At 35.1% G+C, this 21,528-nt stretch overlaps 1 protein-coding gene and 1 long non-coding RNA gene across 8 annotated transcripts in view, besides 1 other annotated feature; one reads left to right on the top strand and one right to left on the bottom strand.

The window, feature by feature from the left end:
• The window catches only part of ZBTB20 (zinc finger and BTB domain containing 20), an 832,789-nt gene that overhangs the window by 775,168 nt on the left and 36,093 nt on the right, over positions 1-21,528 (bottom strand). For 2 of the 7 annotated variants that reach the window (NM_001348804.3, NM_001348805.3), the window contains exon 1: positions 10,508-10,641. The exons of the other annotated variants lie outside the window; for them this stretch is intronic. The gene's annotated coding sequence lies outside the window, so the exon portion shown is untranslated. Of the gene's footprint in view, positions 1-10,507; positions 10,642-21,528 lie in introns of those variants that run through there. 7 annotated transcript variants of the gene reach the window in all.
• On the top strand, positions 10,756-13,394 carry ZBTB20-AS4 (ZBTB20 antisense RNA 4). The gene is made up of 2 exons (NR_046877.1): positions 10,756-10,924; positions 12,889-13,394. It is a non-coding gene; the product is annotated as a ZBTB20 antisense RNA 4 (long non-coding RNA).
• Positions 10,847-10,976: an enhancer, noted in NCBI's record as "active region_20279". NCBI's record gives its function as "activates an Ori minimal core promoter by ATAC-STARR-seq in GM12878 lymphoblastoid cells {active_cell/tissue: GM12878}" and the evidence as "EXISTENCE:reporter gene assay evidence [ECO:0000049][PMID:35858748]".

The following is a 21,528-nucleotide window of genomic DNA, read 5'->3' on the forward strand; positions in this document are numbered from 1 at the left end:
AGCAGCTGTGTGAATTTGGCAATTTTTTCTGTAAGCTTCAGTTTTTTCATCTAAAACATAGGCAGAAAACCAGTGTATGCAACAAAGTTGTTGTATGCAAAGATTAAATTAAACAGTTTGTGTGAAAGGTGCTTAGCAATATCTCGCTTCCTTAATTTTAGCATTATAGGACAAGAGTTCTAATCGGTTTTCAAGCCTAAACTTTTCTTATATAGCAGTATCAACTCTGGCCTCCTACATAAAGTAAGATTATGTTTAGTTAAGGAATAATGTGAGAGATGAGGATAAATTCAGGTGTGACAGTAAATATATTTTAACAATATACCCTAGAAACAAGAGTAATGATTCTCAAACCTTGCAATATTACTAGGATCTTTGGTGTAGTTTTTGCAAAATATGGAAGCCCAAATACCAGTCTAGAGACTCCAATTTTAGATATGTGGGAGTAGAACCTAGGAATCTGTGTATTTTAAAAGCCCTTGGCTGATTCCGACATATAATAATCAACTAAAGTCGAGTTTTCTGAAGTATGTGGGCCAGCTACAACTCAGGATGCCTGAGTTCCATTCCATACCCATTAATAATGGAGCTCAGAAATTTGAATTTTAACAAAAATCCGAAGAATATCTTATGTAAACTAAAGTTTGAGAACCACTGGACTAGAATATAGTAAGATAATATTGAAAAGAATTTTTTTCATATTTGGTTATTTAAACTTTTTTCCCTCTATTTTTAAATAAACATTACTGTCAAAATTTATGAATGATGGGTAAAAATTTTATCTAAAGAAAATATTAGTTTTAGGGTAAGTATTATCATTATTATTACAGGTTTCAAAATCAAAATGGGAAATAGAGATAACATTTTAAGTCATCTACAGAGGGTCCACCAGCACAGAAAAGTATATCACCTAGGAAACACCATGCGTTTCACTGTTTCTTAAATTTGTGTGTTTTGCTTTGACTTAGTTTTTTATTATCCATTCCTTCTTTAATTAGAGCAGTAATGCCAATAAATAATATTTGTATACTACTTTACTATTTATAAAAAAACTTCATATATATTAACTTAATTAATCCTTACAATAACCTTGTGAGGTAGATAGGAAAGGTAATATATATTATCACATTTCTGCCAATAAGAAAACTCTTAAAAAGTTTGTGCAATTTGCCCAGTCATAAGTTTGCTGGTATTTATGGTAATACGTGGACTGAAACCTCTAGATGTAAATTTCATGCAAAACTGTGTGAAATTTAAAACTTAGGATTCATTTTTAAGTGCTATGAATCAAACTCAAAATAGCATGAGAGTCTCTGAACTGCAAGTAGTCCATAGTCCTCTACCAACCTGTGGGTTCATCTTACTATATAAGTTCATTGTACTTTATTTATTATATGGTTAAAGAATAGAAGGAGAGTGGAGCTCAATTAACCAAAAACAAATGAACAAAAAAGTGAAAAACAAATAAAAAAATGGAATATTCATCCATTATAATACTATTTACTCTGCCTACTTGCAATTCATTCCCCTATAAGCCCCTTTGCCTCAGTTTCCTCTTCTAAAACATGAAATATCAAATAGCACTTTCAAAGGCTAGCAATTTCATTTTCAACTATGATGGTACTTTAAAAAGTACAACTAAATATACAGCTAGAATAATACTAACATTTGCCCAATCCCTACAAAAATCCTGTCAAATCAACTAGTCCAGTCCACTCATTTTATACATAGGAAGTAGACCTAAAAAAACTTAAGTATGTTACCCCAAATAATAGCAAATTTGTTGTAAAGCTAGAATTAAAAATTATCTTTACATCAAAGTCAATTACAATACACACTTGTGAATAGGCAATGCCTTGTTTTCATAATCAAAAAGAGAAAATGGTCATTTTAAGATAAAAGGAAGAAGGTAATTTATAAAGGGATGTTTAGGCAGGAAGTGGTATCAGAAGCTGTTTTTCCAAAGTAAAAAGGCTCCAAACTTATTTACAACAAAGAAATGTGTATTTTATATATATATATATAACACACACATATATATAATACATACATATATATATATATATACACGAGAATGTTATAAACCAGCTAGACATAATCATTTGTTTAGACCTCAAATATTTGCATAGCTCTGTGCTGAATGCCAATAGAAGGTTCTGGAGGATGAATAAGACACAGACACTATCCTCAAGAAGCTCAAGGTTTAGTTGGAAGATGTGCTTACAAACAATGGCAATACAATGTGAGAGGTGATATTGCCAAGTTATGCATATAAAATTGCTGTGGGAATGTGAAAGAAGGAGCACCTCAATGCCTGAAATGACCGAGCTTAAGTGAGTATCTCTGACAATCCCTGTCTTCTCCATTTCCAATTCTAAATTAAATACTTCCCTGTTTATGCCTAGAATTGTTAAAGAATTTTTTATATACCCTGATAGGAGAAAAGTAGTAAAGTGCACACATCCTAACTTTTTCTTGGGTAATAAGAAATTTCAAAGACTAAAACATATTATAGAATTTTGGTACAGCTACTACGAAATCAGGGCCTGAAACAATTTGCCAATTTTTTGCAAATGTCCTGTTTTTTTGTTGTTGTTTGTTTTTTTCACTAACTCATGCATCAGTTACTTGCACAGCAACAGGGACACAAGGTGGCACTGTCGTGCTGACATTCATTTCAGGGTCCTTTCTAAATGGACAAATTTGTAAGAGACAGAATAGACCCTATTGTGACAACTAACACCACAGTTGTAATACTGGCCGACTGGGTCTACCAACATTAACACTGGCCTAAAGAGGAGTATTTTGCATTTCATGAATATTATATCATGCCTATATAGAAATAGGACATATTCTCTGATGACTTCTCCAAAATGTCATGTGTGTATTCATAGAAATGTCCAAAGGCATAGAGTGCAGCTTTGCCATTAGGAAGTCAGAAGTGAACTGCTTGCTATTGGCAAGGCAGTGGACACGGATCGCCTCTCCATCTAGTGGCCAGTGGAGAGGAGTGGAGCCATAGTAACCATGCTGCACTTCATTCCATTAAAAACAGCCCTTTTACCAAATCACCCATAGGCAATTAAGTCAGTTTGTCTGACAAATGACTATTTTTGGTTTATGGCATTCGTTCAATCATTAAACAGACTCAATAATACATTATGATATGTAGTTAAGCTAAGAAAAATCATCACAAAATTAAAGTGCCTGTGCTCTCTCAAGCCACATAAATGTCCGTTATTCTTCCTTTATTACCCACCCTAACTTTTCTCCATTTATTTGTGACTTTTAGATAGAAAATGCAAGCAAGATTATCTACATATATAGCTACTTAAAATCACAGTCTTTAAGATGAAAAAATATTTTAAAAAGCTTTCTCCTCATTTTACAGGAAGGAAACTGAGGGACAGAGAGATCATGATGTACTCAAAGTCACAAAGTCAGAACAAAAAACCAGACCTCCAGATTTAACCACTTTAAATCCTTTTTGATATTGATTAATACCTCCTGATTCCCCAGGAAATGCTTTTTGTATCACACCATAAAGTTTCTTTCAACATACCAGAAAAATAATTTCTAAAAATGTTTTTTATTCATATATTTTCAGACTAAGGTGATATAAGTGAAACTACTGTGTATAGGCCGTACCACATCTTCATATCCATAGGTATATTTTGAATGTGTTATAAGAACACAATTATTTTTATATTAAGGAATTACATTCATCCAACATTTAGAAAGCGAAAAAGCAAGTGGGGTAGGGAATAGGTGGATGTGTTGGTCAAAATTACTATACAAAAAATGGTTTCAGAAAGCCATTATGTGAAACAACCTGAATTCATTCAGACTGCTAGAAAAGTTCTTTTTGTTTTGTTTCATACAAATTATTTGACTTTGTTTTTAAAAAGGAAACACACGCACACTTATCCAGCTAATCACTTCATCTATTTTAATTCAGCATGTGATGCTGTTTGGGGGCATGTTTTGGGAATGTGTTGTTGGTAAAGCTTCTTATCAAAACAAATGAAATCTGTCCACCAACTATAAAAATCTGCTCACAACTCCGAACCCAAGAATTAAAGGGCAAAAGGTATGAAGGAAACCTGGCAGTGGATGTTCTAGAAATGTGAGATGTTTTGACTTTTTCTTCTATGATCTTCTTTGGTGGTACCACTGGAATCTGTCTTGGAGTGCAGAGGGAATTTATATAGATCTGCTTTAGAGAGATGCAAAAACTAATGCTGTACAGATAAGTCAAATGCTTTTTAACGGGAGTTAGGGAAGAAGTCTTTTTATTTCATTATACTTCTAAGTTTAGAAGCTTCAAAAGCACCAACCCCTCAGCTACCCTCAGCTTTACCCCTGTACCCTCAGCTTTATCCCTTCACATTATCTCAACTTCTCTCTACTTGTTTCTTAATCATCTCTAGTCGTCTCCCTTCTAGAAATGAGGTGAGGGGATAAAGATCACTGTTGATTTGGAGAACTAGAGAAAGTAAGGGCTAATATAAAAAGTAAGTTATTTTTGCCTTACCTAAAGCTAAGGTAATAGGTACAAGTAACCAAGAAGTGGAGAAATTAGTAAATATGGTCAGAACCAGAGTATATTTATTGGGCCAAGAAGAATTTTAATGTGTCCAGTATTTAAGAAGAAAAAAAAACAAAAAATTTATAAAGTCACCATTACAAAGTATTTGCCTAGTCTATTTAAATAATAAAAGAGAGGAACATTTTCTCACTGTTTAAATGTCTTGGTGCCTAAATAAGATATTTTTGTTTATTTAAAATGAAGCCACATAGTTTTCACATACACATATATATCAACTAGAAAAATTACATAGCCTGGAACATTTCTAGTTTTCTGCTAGTAATAGCTTTTTTTTTTTTTTAACTAAGTTTTAAGTTGCTACCTGAACAAACTGACAACATTAATTTTCTCTCAATTACATTCCATTTACAGGAAAGAAGTTCATACTATAAAAGGAATTGCAACAACAAATCACAATTTAATTACAACAGTAATTCACAGAAAATTTTTGAAAAGGTAAAAATGGCAAATATCTAAGCTAATTCAGTAAAAAACAAAAATGTAAAGCCTTCTAAAAATTAGAGAAAATTAAAATTTAAATAATTTTAAATGTTTCATTTTAAAAAGTTTAAATTAAGAATTTTCCCAATAACAAAAATAGTACTACTATGTATAAGATTCGTAATTATTACCATTTCTACATTTTTAGTTACAACCAATTGGGCATCTATCTTTTTGATATCCCATAACCCCAACCTCATACCATAATTTTATATTTGTTGAATGTAAATCCTTACATTAGTAATGTAATATAAAAACTTTCAAATAGATTGACCTTTTAAATGCATAATATGAACATTAAATTCATCATATCTCAAGACACAGAAGTATTCAGTGACAAAATTACTTCCAATATCAAGAAGGTAAACATATTATGCTGTAATTACCACATTTTCTATCAGAGTTTCAAAGGTAAGACTGAATATTCAGAATTAATAAAAAATATGTTCTTCTTCCCTCTGGAAACTAGATGAATCAATGAACTCATAGTCCTTGTTCCTTGTCTCAGTATTCTCACTTGAAAGTCAGTAGCCAGCTTTCCCCAAGTTAAGACAATTACAAAGGTTGCATTGGTTAACTGAACTACAAAACACCAAGGCTAGAGTTTCAGCTGAGTGTCAAAAGATTCCAGAAAGGCAAGCTCCATGTCCTCAAGCTGATTACTTTCAAATGAACTATAGAATTACCAAAAGGCTTGATCCTGGAGTATAAGAGAGGTTATGAAGCCAAAGTCAAGCATAATTTTTCCACAGTTTAGTACAGAAATAGCATGCCACTTATTCATTATTACAGTTGAACAGCTAGAGTGGCAAAAACAAAAAACAAAACAAAAAAAAGCCCTTTTTCTTATAAGCCCTTGAATGCTGTTTCTAACACCGGCTGTAGTGGTTACTACATACATGATAGTAATCATAGATAGCATATTTCTTCCCATAGCCTCATCAGCTTGCCTATGCTGAATTAGAACTAGGGGAGCTCAAGGATATTTTGATATATTAAACATAATTGTCATCAACATTATTTGATGATTAATGTATAATATCTATGTAATAGGAAAACATGAATTCAGGTATTCTCTAGAATATCTAAGATATGTATATTGCCTTCAGGCTTTTGGTAAAGAATAAAATTGATCTTGCTAGTTTATTTGACATTAGCTATAGTTCCTGGAGATTATGCAAAATGCTAGAATTTATTTAAGCAATGGAAATGTATGAAATGGGTTTTTCAAGAAAATTACAAGTTTCAAGTTTTGTAAAATACCTACACACCTATACATGACTTGAAAGCTTGGTGTAAAGTATCAAATGTAAATGCTGACTGTATTAGCACTGTAAATAATCCATAGTAATTGTATAAAATAACAAAAATGTCTTACACAGTATGAAACAAATTATTTTAAAGATTTGGTTTCTAATTTAATGATAACTCTGGCAGGTACACACCTGTCCGATTGCTAGTGTTTATTGTCCTTGATGGAGGGTAAACTGTTTCTATGTAGGTAATACCTGATTTCTATAATGTCCCTGAAATAGTTACACAGCCATGCAAATGAAAATATTTAGAGGTTCTTTTCAGTGCTTTGTGACTTCTCATGGTAACTTAGATCTTCACTGGTTAAGAAAGTGAGGGATAAGGATACTATTTTACTTATGTTTTACAGTAAAACATGTCTCCCACCAAAAATGTAGTTTGTTAAAATATATTTATAAAGTGACCTCCAAGATAAACCAGCTTTAATGTCCATTTTCAACATTTAGACTTCAGAGGCCACCCTTGAGGCTGAAGAACCCAGGAGCTAGCAGCATTCAAAGAATATCAACACCAGTCATTCTTTTGCCAGAAAAGATCACTAGTTAGCAATATTAGCCAGGTGCTGCTGCTTCAACATACCTTGCCAGATGTTGGGGTAACACGTTTGCTCAGGGCCTGAATTTGGCTTCCTATGTGGCGGCATGACCGGCCACTGCTTAGAGTTGGGCAAGTCCATGAACACATCCACTGATAATTTCTATATTTATAGAAAGCCAGAACATGTGTAGATAATCACACAATTAGATATTTATGTAGTGCCAGATTTTATGAATACGAGAATTTGTTAATTAGCACAAGGACTAATCATTAAAATTCAAAAATAGATAAATAAACAGGAATGCCATTTATTTGTTAACATTTCATGGGGAAAGTATGCAGCTGCTATCCTTTTGATGAATATAGGCTTCTGGAGATAAAAATGTGCAGAATAAAAAGTATCTGCAATTTTTGAAACCCTAATGAGTAAAATCCAATAAATCACTATATAGTCTTTATATTAAAAATAATCATAGTGATTCTCCTCTTAAGTTAAAAAAGAAGAAAAAGTTTAAACTGGCATATGCTTAGCATTTGAATTATATGGTCTGGCATTCCATTTTATTTGATTTTATTTATTTATTTGTTTTGAGACGTAGTCTCGCTCTGTCACCAGGCTGCAGTGCAGTGGCACGATCTCGGCTCACTACAACCTCCACCTCCCGGGTTCAAGGGATTCTCCTGCCTCAGCCTCCCGAGTAGCTGGGACTACAGGCATGCACCACCACGCCCAGGTAGTTTTTGTATTTTTTTTTTAGTAGAGATGGGGTTTCACCATGTTGGCCAGGATAGTCTCGATCTCCCGACCTCGTGATCTGCCCGCCTCGGCCTCCCAAAGTGCCCTATTTTTTTTAAAAAAAATCTACTGTTTGGTCCTTTTCAAAGAGCCAAAGCTGATTTTTATCAGCACACACACGTTAAAAAGCACACACACGTCACTCAGTACCAAATTGTTTTAGCTACAGGGCATGGCAAAGCATGAAGTAACTTCTTAGAGCACTTCCTCATGTGGGTGTGTTAGGTAACTGTCTGCTCCAACATTAAAATGAAACACACTGTGACCTGACCAAGACTTTGGGGATCTAAACAGGCAGATATCATGTGCTGATAGGAAGAGCCCACTATAACCAATAAGGCTGATTAATGAATTTTTCTGGCATTCTATAGCGCTCCTGTAACGCAAGCCTTTCAGCTTTCCAAATCCCTATACAGCAGAGTACAGTGGTTTGAAGTTTATTTATGCACATTTTATAATGTCCTTCTGTATTTAGATTGTGACAGTCCCTCCCAGAAAAGGCCAAGATTATTTTTCATACTAAAAATATTTTAGATCTACTGAAGGTTAAGAATTATAATGCAAAAGAAAACATATACACATTCTAAAAATTAAACCAAACATAAAAATGGCTACATTATTACTTGCTTTTATTCTTGCTAAAAGGTTAAAGGAAATTTTCATTTTTCTCTTGAAATTCTCTCCATTTTTTGTTTGCTTGTGGTTAACATAAACACACATAAAGTGAAATTTTTAAAAATATTGTATCTGAAAAGAAGCTGTGATGTATTTATCCATACATGTATGACTTCGTGTCATACATGCACATGTATGCACAGATATCGCCACTGTATGTGTGTACAGAAAAAGAGAATGACTAATCAAGACATAGATGAAAGATTTCTATTGATAAAAACAGTAGAATTTTAGATGGTCCTCACAAGGCTAACACAGAAAATGACAGGTGCATGAGACATGTACACTTTTGACATACAGTATCAGTTTTGAAACAAATTTTTGGGTCACCGTCAGAAATGGCATAAAGTATATATAAAATTGTATATGAAAAACAAAATTATCGTGTACCATATTAACATAAAATACTCTCCTAAAGTTCCCCTTAGACCTTACGGAAAAAAATCTCCGACGGGACCTGATTGAGCGTACTTAGTATTTGTACTACTCTTGGTCAAAGCCAGCCTATCCAGTTTAAAAAAACTGTTCAGGCAAGATAAGCAAATTGAAAGTCTCAGAATTAATTTTTTAAAAGAAGAGGTAAAAAAGTCTTTCAGCAGCAAAAGTTCATCACCTTCCTGAAATAATGGATTTTTAATAAACATTTTACTAGGTTTGAACCTTGAGAATGTGTTTGGGAATCTGCTCTAGTGTCCCAGGTGGGTTAAGAATATTGCTTTATGGACTTCTTTGTGTTGTCAGAGAAGCCTAATGGAATTAAGGGGGAAAAAAGTCTGCCACTTCTGTTAAATAAATAATTTATTACAAAAAGATGACTGTTATTATCAAAGATCTCTACAGATCAGCATCCATTTTCTAACATTGCTCTGTATATGCCGAAACATTTGTGTATCTATGTGACTTAAATTTTATCAAATGAAGAGCAGTTTTACTTTGACAAATCTGAAATAAAATTCCATTAAGAAGTCCATTTCAAATGGCCCTTATTAAAATAATCCTTTCAATTTTGAAGAACACTATTCTGGGAAAACTCTTCAACAATGTCTGCTAGTTTGAAATGTAACTTTTCCCACTATAAAAAAGAAAAAAAGAAATAAAGGAAAAGAAAGCACCACAAAACTGAATTTGAAATAAAAATTATATTATTTATGCTCCCCAAAATGTTAAATGAATACTTACAGTTGTTGTGCAAGATGGCCTGATACACTTCATAGCTTCCACTTTGTAAAAAGATGGCCAGCCCCTCACTCCACCCTCCCCAAGCATAAATAAACAGTAACATACTAAAAGGAAACTGTCCTAGGATAAAAACTGCTTGTTAAGAAAGTTCGCATTCTTACTAACCAAAGTGATATTCCTATAAATGTAAAAGCCCATCTGCAAAATAAAAGTTAGAAAACAGAATACCTTATTTGTTTAAAAATACATCCCCCAGATGCAATGTTTCTATGTGTGTGATGACAAAAATAATTACTCCATTCTTACCCACCCTCAGCAACTACCCCTCACCTTATGTCCAATGGCATTAAATAAACATGCTGGCAAAAAGTATTCAACCTGCTTCAAGGATTTAAACTGTAAATATGGACTTTAAACTTCAACATAAAACAAAGAACAAGAGTCTCACTTTAGTAATACCCACACTGGCACTGCAGCTAAAACTCATTGGCAAATAACTAACAAAACCGAGTTAGCAATAAATAAGGACAACATGATATATAGACAGACAGATGGAATTGCATAAACAGACAAGAAAAGCAAAGAGACAAACATACGGAAGGGTCTGTTTTAAAAGAGTGAAAGATTCTGATTTATTTGGTACTTTAGTGAGAAAAATAGATTTGTTTGTAATTATTTTTAAAGTAACAAAACTGAATCACAAGGGCACACCCCTAAGTAAGTAGGAAGAAAATTAGTAAAGGGTAGGCCTCCTACAGATGTTCTAAATTTTAAGCTAGCACTAGCTCTGTCAAACTTAAATCTGGAAATTAAAATTCAAGCAGGAAAGAATAAAGGCATTGGGGGCTAAAGGAGATGACAGAGGGGGCATTGAGGAAGCAGGATTTTTTTTTTTTTAAGAAAGTTGTCTGCCCTACCTTCTTCCCCAGCGCTGAGTTTCTCTTCTTATAATCGGTGTCTCCCTGGAAGTACAGTGTGAGTGGTAATGACTGCCTGCCTCCCTAATGAGTCCATTTTCCTGCTCTTGATGTTGTGTATATACACACACTGCAACCTACCTTACAAACCACAGAGACGGGAAGAGAGAGAGAGAGCAAGAGAGAGGAGGGAGGGGGGAAGAGAGGGAGAGAGAGACAGAGACAGAGCAAGCGAGTAAGAGAGAGAGAAGAGGAGAGAGAGAGAGAGAGAAAGAAAAACAGAAAGAAACAGAGAGAAAGGCACAGACAAAGCCCTCCTACCAGACAGCAGACAGCTCTCCTTCCCCTATCCAGCAAAATGCAACTCGTCTAATGCAGCAACAGGTTCAGTATTGCCAGACTAACAGAGTGAAAAAGGTATATTCTCTATATCATTATTGCTTGCAAATAAACAGTTTAAGAGCAGCTGGCTCCACCTTCTTTATTTATGCTCCATTATGAGGAATGTATTGTTTCAGTTCTGGCAGTACATGTAATTATCATAAATACATTTTTTGCATATAAGCAGGAAATAGTGAAATGCATAGCTTATTTGTGCAATCTTTTAAATTTATTTTTAATGTGAGAAGAATGTGAACAAATCAGCTCTGACAAAAGCCTAGTAATGATTTTAAAGTCAGAGCAGTCTTAAAGGAGGCTCTGTAAGAAACAGACTCCATACAATAGGAAAACTGATCTCAGACAAAACTGATAACTGCAAAGAAGAAATCATTGCTCAGTTAATAAATCGAGACCATATACAAAATTGCAGACTTACAAAATTACAGACCAAAACAGAATTAAGCTTAATTAAGTAACTAATAGGCTAGGAACCTAGAAGAAGGGAGATTGGCTTCTCATTTAAAGCATCTAGCTGTACAAACATCACAATGCAATGTACTCTGTGTGAACAGGTGCAATGCGTATAGTACATAGTGGTACAACAACAGAAATAAATCCCATAAGAAGCTACCATCACAATCAGGATGATATTTCATAGAATATGGGACTGAAACTACAGCAGTTACCCTTAATCTTTTATTAGGAGGGAAAAATAAAAATAATCAATGCTTCTAAATAAACTTGCCTTAAAAGAGAAAAAAAACAGTTTTTCTTTGTCTGATACTTCTAACCAGATTTTTTCTATATTCTAGTTCCAAAATTATGATGTTATTATACTCCTCACCCCATCACATGCTTCCCACCCACTTTCCCCACTCCTAGGTGCCCTTTCTCCTGTAAGTGATATATTTGCAGCTATAGAATTACAAACATCAGAAAACAGAAATAGTTTTAAGCCACTCTCCTCGTCCCCGAATTTTTAAAAACTAGACTCTGCTTGACGAGTCATATCTCCTTCTAGCACTATTATCTATCTAGACACCCACCTTCCTTAATATATTTCTATACAGTTTGGCTATGTGTCATTTAGATGGGACTTAAGAACATTATAATAGAGGTAAAATTTTCTAAAAAATATTTACACACAAATAAAAAATATAAGTGCATTTGACTTATTCAAACCCTGCGTTTGGGCAACAATAATCCTAAGTATATGAATTGTAAAAATCATCCTTTTTATGTGGTTTTGTGTATTAACATGCTTCAAAAATTAGAATATGTCCCTCTGCATAAACAAAACTACCTTGAAACAACAGCTTCAATTCTTTTGTTTAAAAAAAATCAGTTTTCAATTAAAAATTAAATAACTTTCAATATATAACTTATAGATCAACCGATTCTTCACCTTATTCACAAAAATCTTTAAGAATGTCAAATAAATTTTGGGTCATGTTTAGAATACAGATCAATATTGCTTTAGCTATTTTCAGGGTGGCTAACCTACAGCACAGACATTAGAATGTAATATCTACCTATACATTATACAAGCTATCCTGGGAAAATTTCTAGTAAGAAACCAAGAGTCCAGACCACTCTAGTCTCATCGTAATCCACCAATTCAACCTCTCTAGTGCTGCAGTAGTATATCACCCTCCCAAGGGTGGATGATTAAAAGGAGACAGACACACACTAAAAATGATTTAACAGTCTCCTACTTCAGGTCACTTGTCTGTAGAGAAACTTTTCCAAAATATATTTAGTGTGCCCAAGGTACCAGCATGTATCTCCTCCTCACTATTTGGCCTGGCAGCTCTGCTTTTCTACTATTGCCCTATTGTTTCTCCGAAGCTTTATTAAAATGTATTAAGAAAAATGTCAATTAAAAAAACACATAAAACTTAGAGTTTGACAGATGGATTTGAATTAGATATTTGTATTTTCTGAATTTTTAAAATAAGGTTCTAGGTATTTTATTTTGTTTCATTTTGTTTTTATTCAAGGAGAAGACGTATTTGGTTTCTACCAGCAGGAATCAAAAGGAATATAAAGGACCATGAAGGCTCTTTTCTAAAAAACAACCTGAGAGCTAAATTTAAAAGGAAAACAAATCTTTTGGCTTAAGTGAAAAATGAGACCGGGCACAGTGGCTCACACCGTAATCCCAGCACTTTGGGAGGCCGAGGCAGGCAGATCACAAGGTCAGGAGTTCGAGACCAGACTGGCCAACATAGGGAAACCCCCTCTACTAAAAATACAAAAATTAGCTGGGGGTGGTGGTGCATGCCTCTAGTCCCAGCTGCTCAGGAGGCTGAGGCAGGAGAATCGCTTGAACCCAGGAGGTGGAGGCTGCAGTGAACCAAGATCACACCACTGCACTCTAGCCTTGGCAACAGAGCAAGACTCCATCTCAAATTAAAAAAAAAAAAGGTGAAGAAGAAGAAGAAGAATGTACAACATCTCAAAACTTTTCCCATATCTGTACATTTTACTAGATTCAAAGCACAATAAGTAGTACATTGTTAGTACTTACTGGAATTCAAGATATACTTTCCCTAGTTGGGACTGGAGACAATAAGGTCTGAAGAAATCATTGTAATTGACTACCATACTATGGAAGTTATAAAGTTATTTAATTAAATTGCTTCATGTGTTGATATGTCATGGGGCAATTTGGTTCTGTAGAAAGATCCTAAAGTGGAAGTTAAAAACTGGTTCTGTCCCAAATTGATCTATAGATTCAATTCAATCCCAATCAAAATCCCAGAAAGTTATTTTGTGGATATGAACTAAATGATTCTAAAATTTATATGGAGAGGCAAAAGACTGAAAATAACCAACATAATATTGAAAGAGAAGAACAAAGTTGGACAAATGAAACTACCAGACTTCAGGACTTACTATAAAGCTACAGTAATCAAGAATGCATGATGCTGGCAAAGAATAGACACAGCAGATCAGTGCAACAAAATAGACAGCCCAGGAGAAGGCCCACATATGTATAGTCAACTGATCTTTGACTTAAAAGGAAAAGCAATACAATGGAGCAAAGACAGTATTTCCAACAAGTGGTGACGGAACGACTGGACGTCTACATGCAAAAAAATAAATCCAGACGCAGACTTTACACTCTTCACATAAATTAACTCAAAATGGATGGATCATAAACCTAAATGTAAAATGCAAAATTCTAAGACTCCTAAATAGGAAAAAATCTGGATAATTCTGGGTTTCACAATGACTATTTTAGATACAACACCAAAGACATAATCCATGAAAGAAATAATTGATAAGCTGGATTTAATTCAAATTAAAAAGTTCTACTCTGCAAAAGACACTGTAAAGGTAATGAAAAGACAAGCCACAGACTGGAAGAAAATATTTGCAAAAGATGCATCTCATAAAGGACTGTTATCTAAAACATGCAAAGAATTCTTAAAACTCAACAGTAAGAAAATATTATAACCTGATTAAAAATGGGCAGAAGACTTTAACAGTGACCTCACCAAAGAAGATATACAGATGGCAAATAAGCGTATGAAAGGGGCTCCATATTATATGTCATTGGGGAAATGCACATTAAAAATAACAATGACATACCACCACACATGTAATAGAATGGCCCAAACTCACAGCACTGACAACACCAAATGATGATGCGGATGTGGAGCAACAGGAACTCTCATTCATTGTTGGTAGGAATGAAAAATGGTACAGCCACTTTGGAAGACAGTTTGGCAGTTTCTTACAAAACTAAACACATATACAATCCAGCAATTGCAGTGGTTGGTATTTATGCAAAGGAATTGAAAACTTATGCCCACACAAAAACCTACACACAGATGTTTACAGTAATTTTATTCATAATTGCCAATATTTGGAAGAAATTAATATGCCCATTAGTAGATGAATGGATAAATTATGGTACATCCAGGCAGTGAAATATTATTTAGTGCTAAAACGAAATGAGATATCAAGCCATGAAAAGACATGTAGGAAACTTAAATGCATATTACTAAGCAAAAGAAGCCAATCTGAAAAGATTGCCTTCTATCCACTGTACGTATCTATACACTGTATGATTCCAACTATATGACATTCTGAAAAGGCAAAACCATGGAGACAGCAAAAACTCATTGTTTGCAAGAGTTTAGGGTAGAGAGAGGGATGAACAGGAAGAACACAGGATTTTCAAGGCAGTGAAACTACTTTGTATAATACAATAGTGACAGATAGATGTCATACATTTGTTCAGACCCACAGAAGGCACAACACCAAGAGTGAACCTTAATGTAAACTATGGGCCTGGAGTAATAATAATATGTCAAAGTTGGCTTATCATATGTAACAAATATATGACTCTGGTGGGGGATATTGATGATGGGGAGGCTGTGCATGTGTGAAGGCAGGGGGTATATGAGAAATCTCTGTACCTCCCCATCGATTTTACTATGAAACTAAAATTACTCAAAAAAAAGTCTATTAAACAATAAATTAAAAGAAAATTGGTTCTGGTCCCAGCATTGCCACAAATAGCTTGCGTACCCTCGTCAAGTCATGCAACCATCCTGAGTTTCAGTTTCTTCCTATGCTAAAAATAACAAATTTAAAAGGACGGAATTGAACAGCGTATCATAATAATAGTTATTAAAGCCAATGCTTAAGTGCTTACTATGTGTCAAGAACTGTTCTAAGTACTTTTTATTTCTTAACTCTTTAAAGCCTAACAATTACCCTATAATGTAGGAATTATTTTTAGTCTCATTTTCCAGATGAAGAAAAAAGAGAGATTAAGTGACTTGCCTGAGATCACATAGCATAATAATAATGATAGGATTTGAACCCAGCCTGTCTAGCTTAGAGTTTATGTGTTTAATCCCTACACTATACTGTTTTACCCAATACCTAAAGATAGTTAAGGCCCCATCCAGCCATGACTCTGTGGTTGTGAGTCAAATCTAGTAAGTCCTGATGATTTCTTACCCTATCTTGCTTACTAACACAGAATAGTGAAAATTTGCTGTTTAATACCCATAGCTCTCAATACGTTCAATTTAATGGTACCCAGCAACTCCATCTAAAGTACATACTCTATCATGCATTCTTAAAGGTTGCATAGTTCAAGATTCAAATATCTAATAGTAATGCAAATAATTGTTTAAAGAACTAAATAATAAACACAATAAAATATTTCCTATTTTCTATAGCCTGAGAAAGGAATTAAAAAAGCAAGAATTCAATTGTAAAGGATTTGTGTATTTTGGGGGTTTTGTTTGTTTGTTTGTTTTTTGAGACAGCTCCGTCGCCCAGGCTGGAGTGCAGTGGTGCAATCTCGGCTCACTGCAATCTTCGCCTCCCCAGTTCAAGCGATTCTCCTGCCTCAGCCTCCTGACTAGCTGGGATTACAGGCGCGTGCCACCATGCCTGTCTAATTTTTGTATTTTTAGTAGAGACAGGATTTCACCATGTTGGTCAGGCTGGTCTCAAATTCCCGACCTTGTGATCCGCCCACCTCAGCCTCCCAAAGTGCTGGGATTACAGGCGTGAGCCACCGTGCCCAGACAAGAAAAGTCTGGGATTAGTGGGTCAAAATGAGTAATTGCTACGCTAAGTAAATGACTTTGCCATTGAGGACACCACCATAAAGTTAATTGTAAGTGGCGTAATTACACAATAATTCTTTTTTTTTTTTTTTTTTTGAGACAGAGTCTCACTCTGTCGCCCAGGCTGTAGTGCAGTGGCCCGATCTTAGCTCACTGCAAGCTCTGCCTCCCGGGTTCACACCACTCTCCTGCCTCAGCCTCCCGAGTAGCTGGGACTACAGGTGCCCGCCACCACGCCCAGCTAATTTTTTGTATTTTTAGCAGAAACGGGGTTTCACCATGTTAGCCAGGATGGTCTCGATCTCCTGACCTTGTGTTCCGCCTGCCTCAGCCTCCCAAAGTAATGGAATTACAAGCATGAGCCACTGTGCCCGGCCAATTAGGCAATAATTCTTAACCCTAGTCATCTATTTTAAAATTGTATCCCATCGGGCCCAAGGACAATAGTAGGCCAGGAGTACCATCCTTAAATGGGAAGAGTTGCACATCTAATTTAAATTCTAATCAACAAATGTTTAAATTTAAAACTAAAATAAAGTATTACATGTAAACTAAGTCATTGGAAGTACATTTATTATGGCCAGAGGATTTTATATGCCTCTCTCCCTACAAGACTAAGAGACTCCCTCCCCACCATCGCCACCTTCTTCCCCTCTGCCCCCCAGAGCAGAGACCCTACTTATTAAGCTTTGTTGGTCTAGCATCTGGCAGTACACCTGTAATATATCTGAAGCTCAAAAAAGTTTTCCTGAAAGAATGAATGACTAAACAAACAACAGTACATAGGGTTTATAAACCTTGGTTAATTAAAAACTTAAATAAATTTGAGATATAAGGATGATATAAACAAGTAAATAGCATTTCAAAAAATGTATTGTCACATATTAAACACATCCTTATCTTAAGATCTTGTGACAAACAAAAATAGAAAAAGTAATCTTCAACTTTGCTGTATGTTTGAAAGAATTTCACAATAAAAAGTTGGATAAGGCTGCATGCAGTGGCTCATGCCTGTAATCTCAGCACTTTGGGAGGCCAAGGTAGGAGGGTCACTTGAATCTAGGAGTTAGAGACCAGCCTGGACAATATACTGAGACCGCATGTCTATAAAAAAATCAGCCTTGTATGATGGCATGCACCTGTAGTCCTAGCTACTTGGGAGGCTGAGGTGAGAGGATTTCTTGAGCCCAGGAGGTCAAAGCAGCAGTGAGCTATGGTTGCACCACTGCACTGCAACCTGGGTGACAGAGTGAGACTGTGTCAAAAAAAAAAAAAAAAGTTTGTTAAAAAAAGTATTCATATCTCACACCAGTCAGAATGGGGATTATTAAAAAGTCAAGAAACAACAGATGCTGGCGAGGCTGCAAAGAAATATGAACGCTTTTACACCATTGGTGGGAATGTTCAACCATTGTGGAAGACAGTGTGGCGATTCCTCAAGGATCTAGAACCAGAAATGCCATCTGACCCCACAATCCCATTACTGGGTATATACCCAAAGGAATATAAATCATTCTACTATAAAGATACATGCACAGGTATGTTTACTGTAGCACTATTTACAATAGCAGACATGGAACCAACCAAAATGCCCATCAATAATAGACTGGGTAAAGAAAATGTTGTACATATACACCATGGAATACTATGCAGCCATAAAAAGGAATGAGATCATGTCCTTTGCATGGACATAGATGAATCTGGAAGACATAATCCTCAGCAAACTAACACAGGAATAGAAAACACTGCATGTTCTCACTCATATGTGGGAGCTGAACAATGAGAACACATGGACACAGGGAGAGGAACGACACACACCAGGGCCTGTCGGCGGGTGGGGGGTGAGAGGAGGGAGAGCATCAGGACAAATAGCTAATGCATGTGGGGCTTAAAACCTAGATGACGGGTTGATAGATGCAGCAAACCATGATGGCACACGTATACCTATGTAACAAATGTAGAGGTTCTGTGCATGTATCCTGGAACTTAAAAAAAAAAAAAGATATTCCCATACAACTATCAGAATTTCAATAAACATCATTTCTGAAAAGAAAATTCAGCTTGCCTTCACATTTCATTTATCTATTATTTCTTTCAAATCTATAACATAAGTGTTTGTAAAAGGCTGAAGTTGGCTTCAGAGTACTTCATGGGAATGGAATTGTCCTCTTTGAGGAAAACATCTTGATAAGCTGCTGGAGTCAGAGAGTGAGGCATGAATATTTCTTGTGGGGTTAAACTGTACTACATAAAAAATGAGTAACAATTTGAAGTTAGGGGAGCACAGAGATGAGAGGGAGGAAGAAGAGGAGTAGTGGGAATTTCCCAATGTAAACGTGGCCAGATTTTTTAAAGTAATGCCTAATAATAAATTCTATGAAGTTTATGTTTTGTGATGCAAATATTCTCCTTCTCTCCAAACTTTCAGGAAAGGATAATGTATATTCTACAGTCTTATATAGTAGTAGAACGAAGAATCAAATAATGAAAAAATGAAGTTATTGCCTCACATTCACCCATATACTGTAGCCTTTATAATCACGGCAGTTTCCTAATAAGACAGAAAATATTACCGGAGTTCCTCGGAGTGACCAGTGGTAGAGTGAACAGTGGCCAGTGAATAGTAAATAGCAAAGAGTAGAAAATCAAAAGTATCTTTAATATAGAATGACTCATATCTATATATGAGTCATTTTCCACAATTGTAAAGGAGAAATATGACCATGGGGAAAAGTGGCACGGAGTTTAGTATCTGAATGATAAGATTATTATGCTATTATAGCTGTTGTTACTACTCCTATAAGCTGATCTTAAATGATATGATTATCTTTAGAAATTTAGAAGAGGGTACTTTTGTGACACAATCAATAAATGCTAAATCAATGGATTACAAAATATAAAAATGTTATTTGTAATATCTCCCTGGCTCCAGAACAACGTATTAGACACATATACTATATGAACTCTTCTGCTGCCTGGTCAATCCTCTCTACTAAACAATCTACAACAATGCCAGCAACTATCTTAAAAGTTTCCACATCTACATAATTTACTTATATGTACAGTTTATATTTAATACAAAAGGAAAGGAAAGAGAAACTACAGAGTGCATTCTATAGGAAAAATAAAAGTCACAGAGAAGATATAAAAGGTACATCTTAATTGCCATAGATGTTTGTCAAGCAGGTTGGTGAGATCCTTACTGTTTGACCTGGTGCGGCTATACTCAAAAACTCAATAGTCTTCATATCTTTCCAAAATACAAAAGTTGCTACTATTAATAAGAATGCTTTATTAAAAGTTATCTCTACTACATGTGTCAGAAACAGCCCAACATACACTTTCTCATTTAATCCCCCAACAGCATTAAAAGAAATCTCATTTTCAGATTATACATAAACAAAAAGAGGCCCAAAGACACAGACCTAATAAGTAGTAAACGTCGGGCCTAACATCTATCCAAATAGAATGTGTAAGGAATAGAAGGAGGGGCTTTATAAAATTACTCCAAAAATTATCTAGAATAACAGACTGGTGATATTAGGTAGAAAAAGAAGACTAATGATGGGGAACAGATTTGAAAGGATATATGTTCCCTAGATAATTTCAGAACTTAAAATTTTATATTTGTTTGAGGAAAAGTATATTAAGTATCTCAAAGTAAAATTTAAAGAAAGGATAATGGAAAAGACTAGTATATTAAAAAATAGCTTTCAAAAGCGATGAAAGAAACATACCATGAACCAGTTTGATTAAAGAGTTGGAAACATTAGGCGGGGCACTGTGGCTCACGCCTGTAATCCCAGCACTTTGGGAGGCCGAGGTGGGCAGATCACCTGAGGTCAAGAGTTCGCAACCAGCCTGGCCAACATGGCGAAACTCCGTCTCTACTAAAAATACAAAAAAATTAGCTGGGCATAGTGGCACATACCTGTAATCCCAGCTACTCGGGAGGCTGAGGCAAGAGAATCACTTGAACCCGGGAGGCGGAGGTTGCAGTGAGCAGAGATCACGCCACTGCACTCCAGCCTGGGCGATAGGGACTCTGTCTTAGAAAAAAAAAAAAAAAGAGTTGGAAATATTAATAGCAATCTGTCCAGCAATTTTGAAGCGAGTTATTAATAACGGAGTCAGCATGATAGCAGCCTGCTAAGCCCTCTGAGGCAACAGGCCATAGGGATGATTCAAAATAGGTAGAAATGGTATCTTTTATTTTTAAGAAAAATCACTTAGCCCCAATAAGCTGTAGGCTTATAGCCATAACTTTTTAAAAAATGTATAAGGTCAGATCAAAAGTTTTTATAACATAATCTACATAAAATATCTATCTTCTTCATTTGTATTAAATACAAAAAATTACTTTACAGTATATACATTCAGAATGTATGTCCGATATGTTTGGTAGGATTCTTGAAAAATAAAAATTTGAAATGAATTACATTAAATTTTATTTTACACTTATATTGGGTATTTCAAAATTGTCATTTACTTAATTTTGACTAGTTTATCAGTTTATATCTCAATGAAGAGAATTGTATATAAAACAAATCCGGCCAGGTGTGGTGGCTCACGCCTGTAATCCCAGCACTTTGGGAGGCCAAGGCAGGTGGATCACCTAAGGTTGGGAGTGTGAGACCAGCCTGGCCAACATGGTAAAATGCCATCTCTACTAAAAATACAAAAATTATCCGGGCTAGGTGGCATGTGCCTGTAATCCCACCTACCCAAGAGGCTGAGACAGGAAAAATTACTTGAACCTGGGAGGCAGAGGCTGCAGTGAGCCGAGCTTGCGCCACTACACTCCAGCTTCGGCAACAGAGTGAGACTCCATCTCAAAAAAATAAAAATAAAAATAAATAAATAAATAAATAAATAAATAAATAAATAAATAAAAATAAAACAAATCCTCCTTCATGTTAAATGTCCACACATTTGAATGGATTGAATTTACTTATCACTAAATATGATGTACTACTCTATTTCAAACCGATGGCACTTTACCACTGAAAATGTAATAACTGGATCTTCCATAACACAAAT

This window comes from Homo sapiens, chromosome 3 (genome assembly GCF_000001405.40).
Source record: "Homo sapiens chromosome 3, GRCh38.p14 Primary Assembly".
Taxonomy (NCBI): Eukaryota; Metazoa; Chordata; class Mammalia; order Primates; family Hominidae; genus Homo; species Homo sapiens.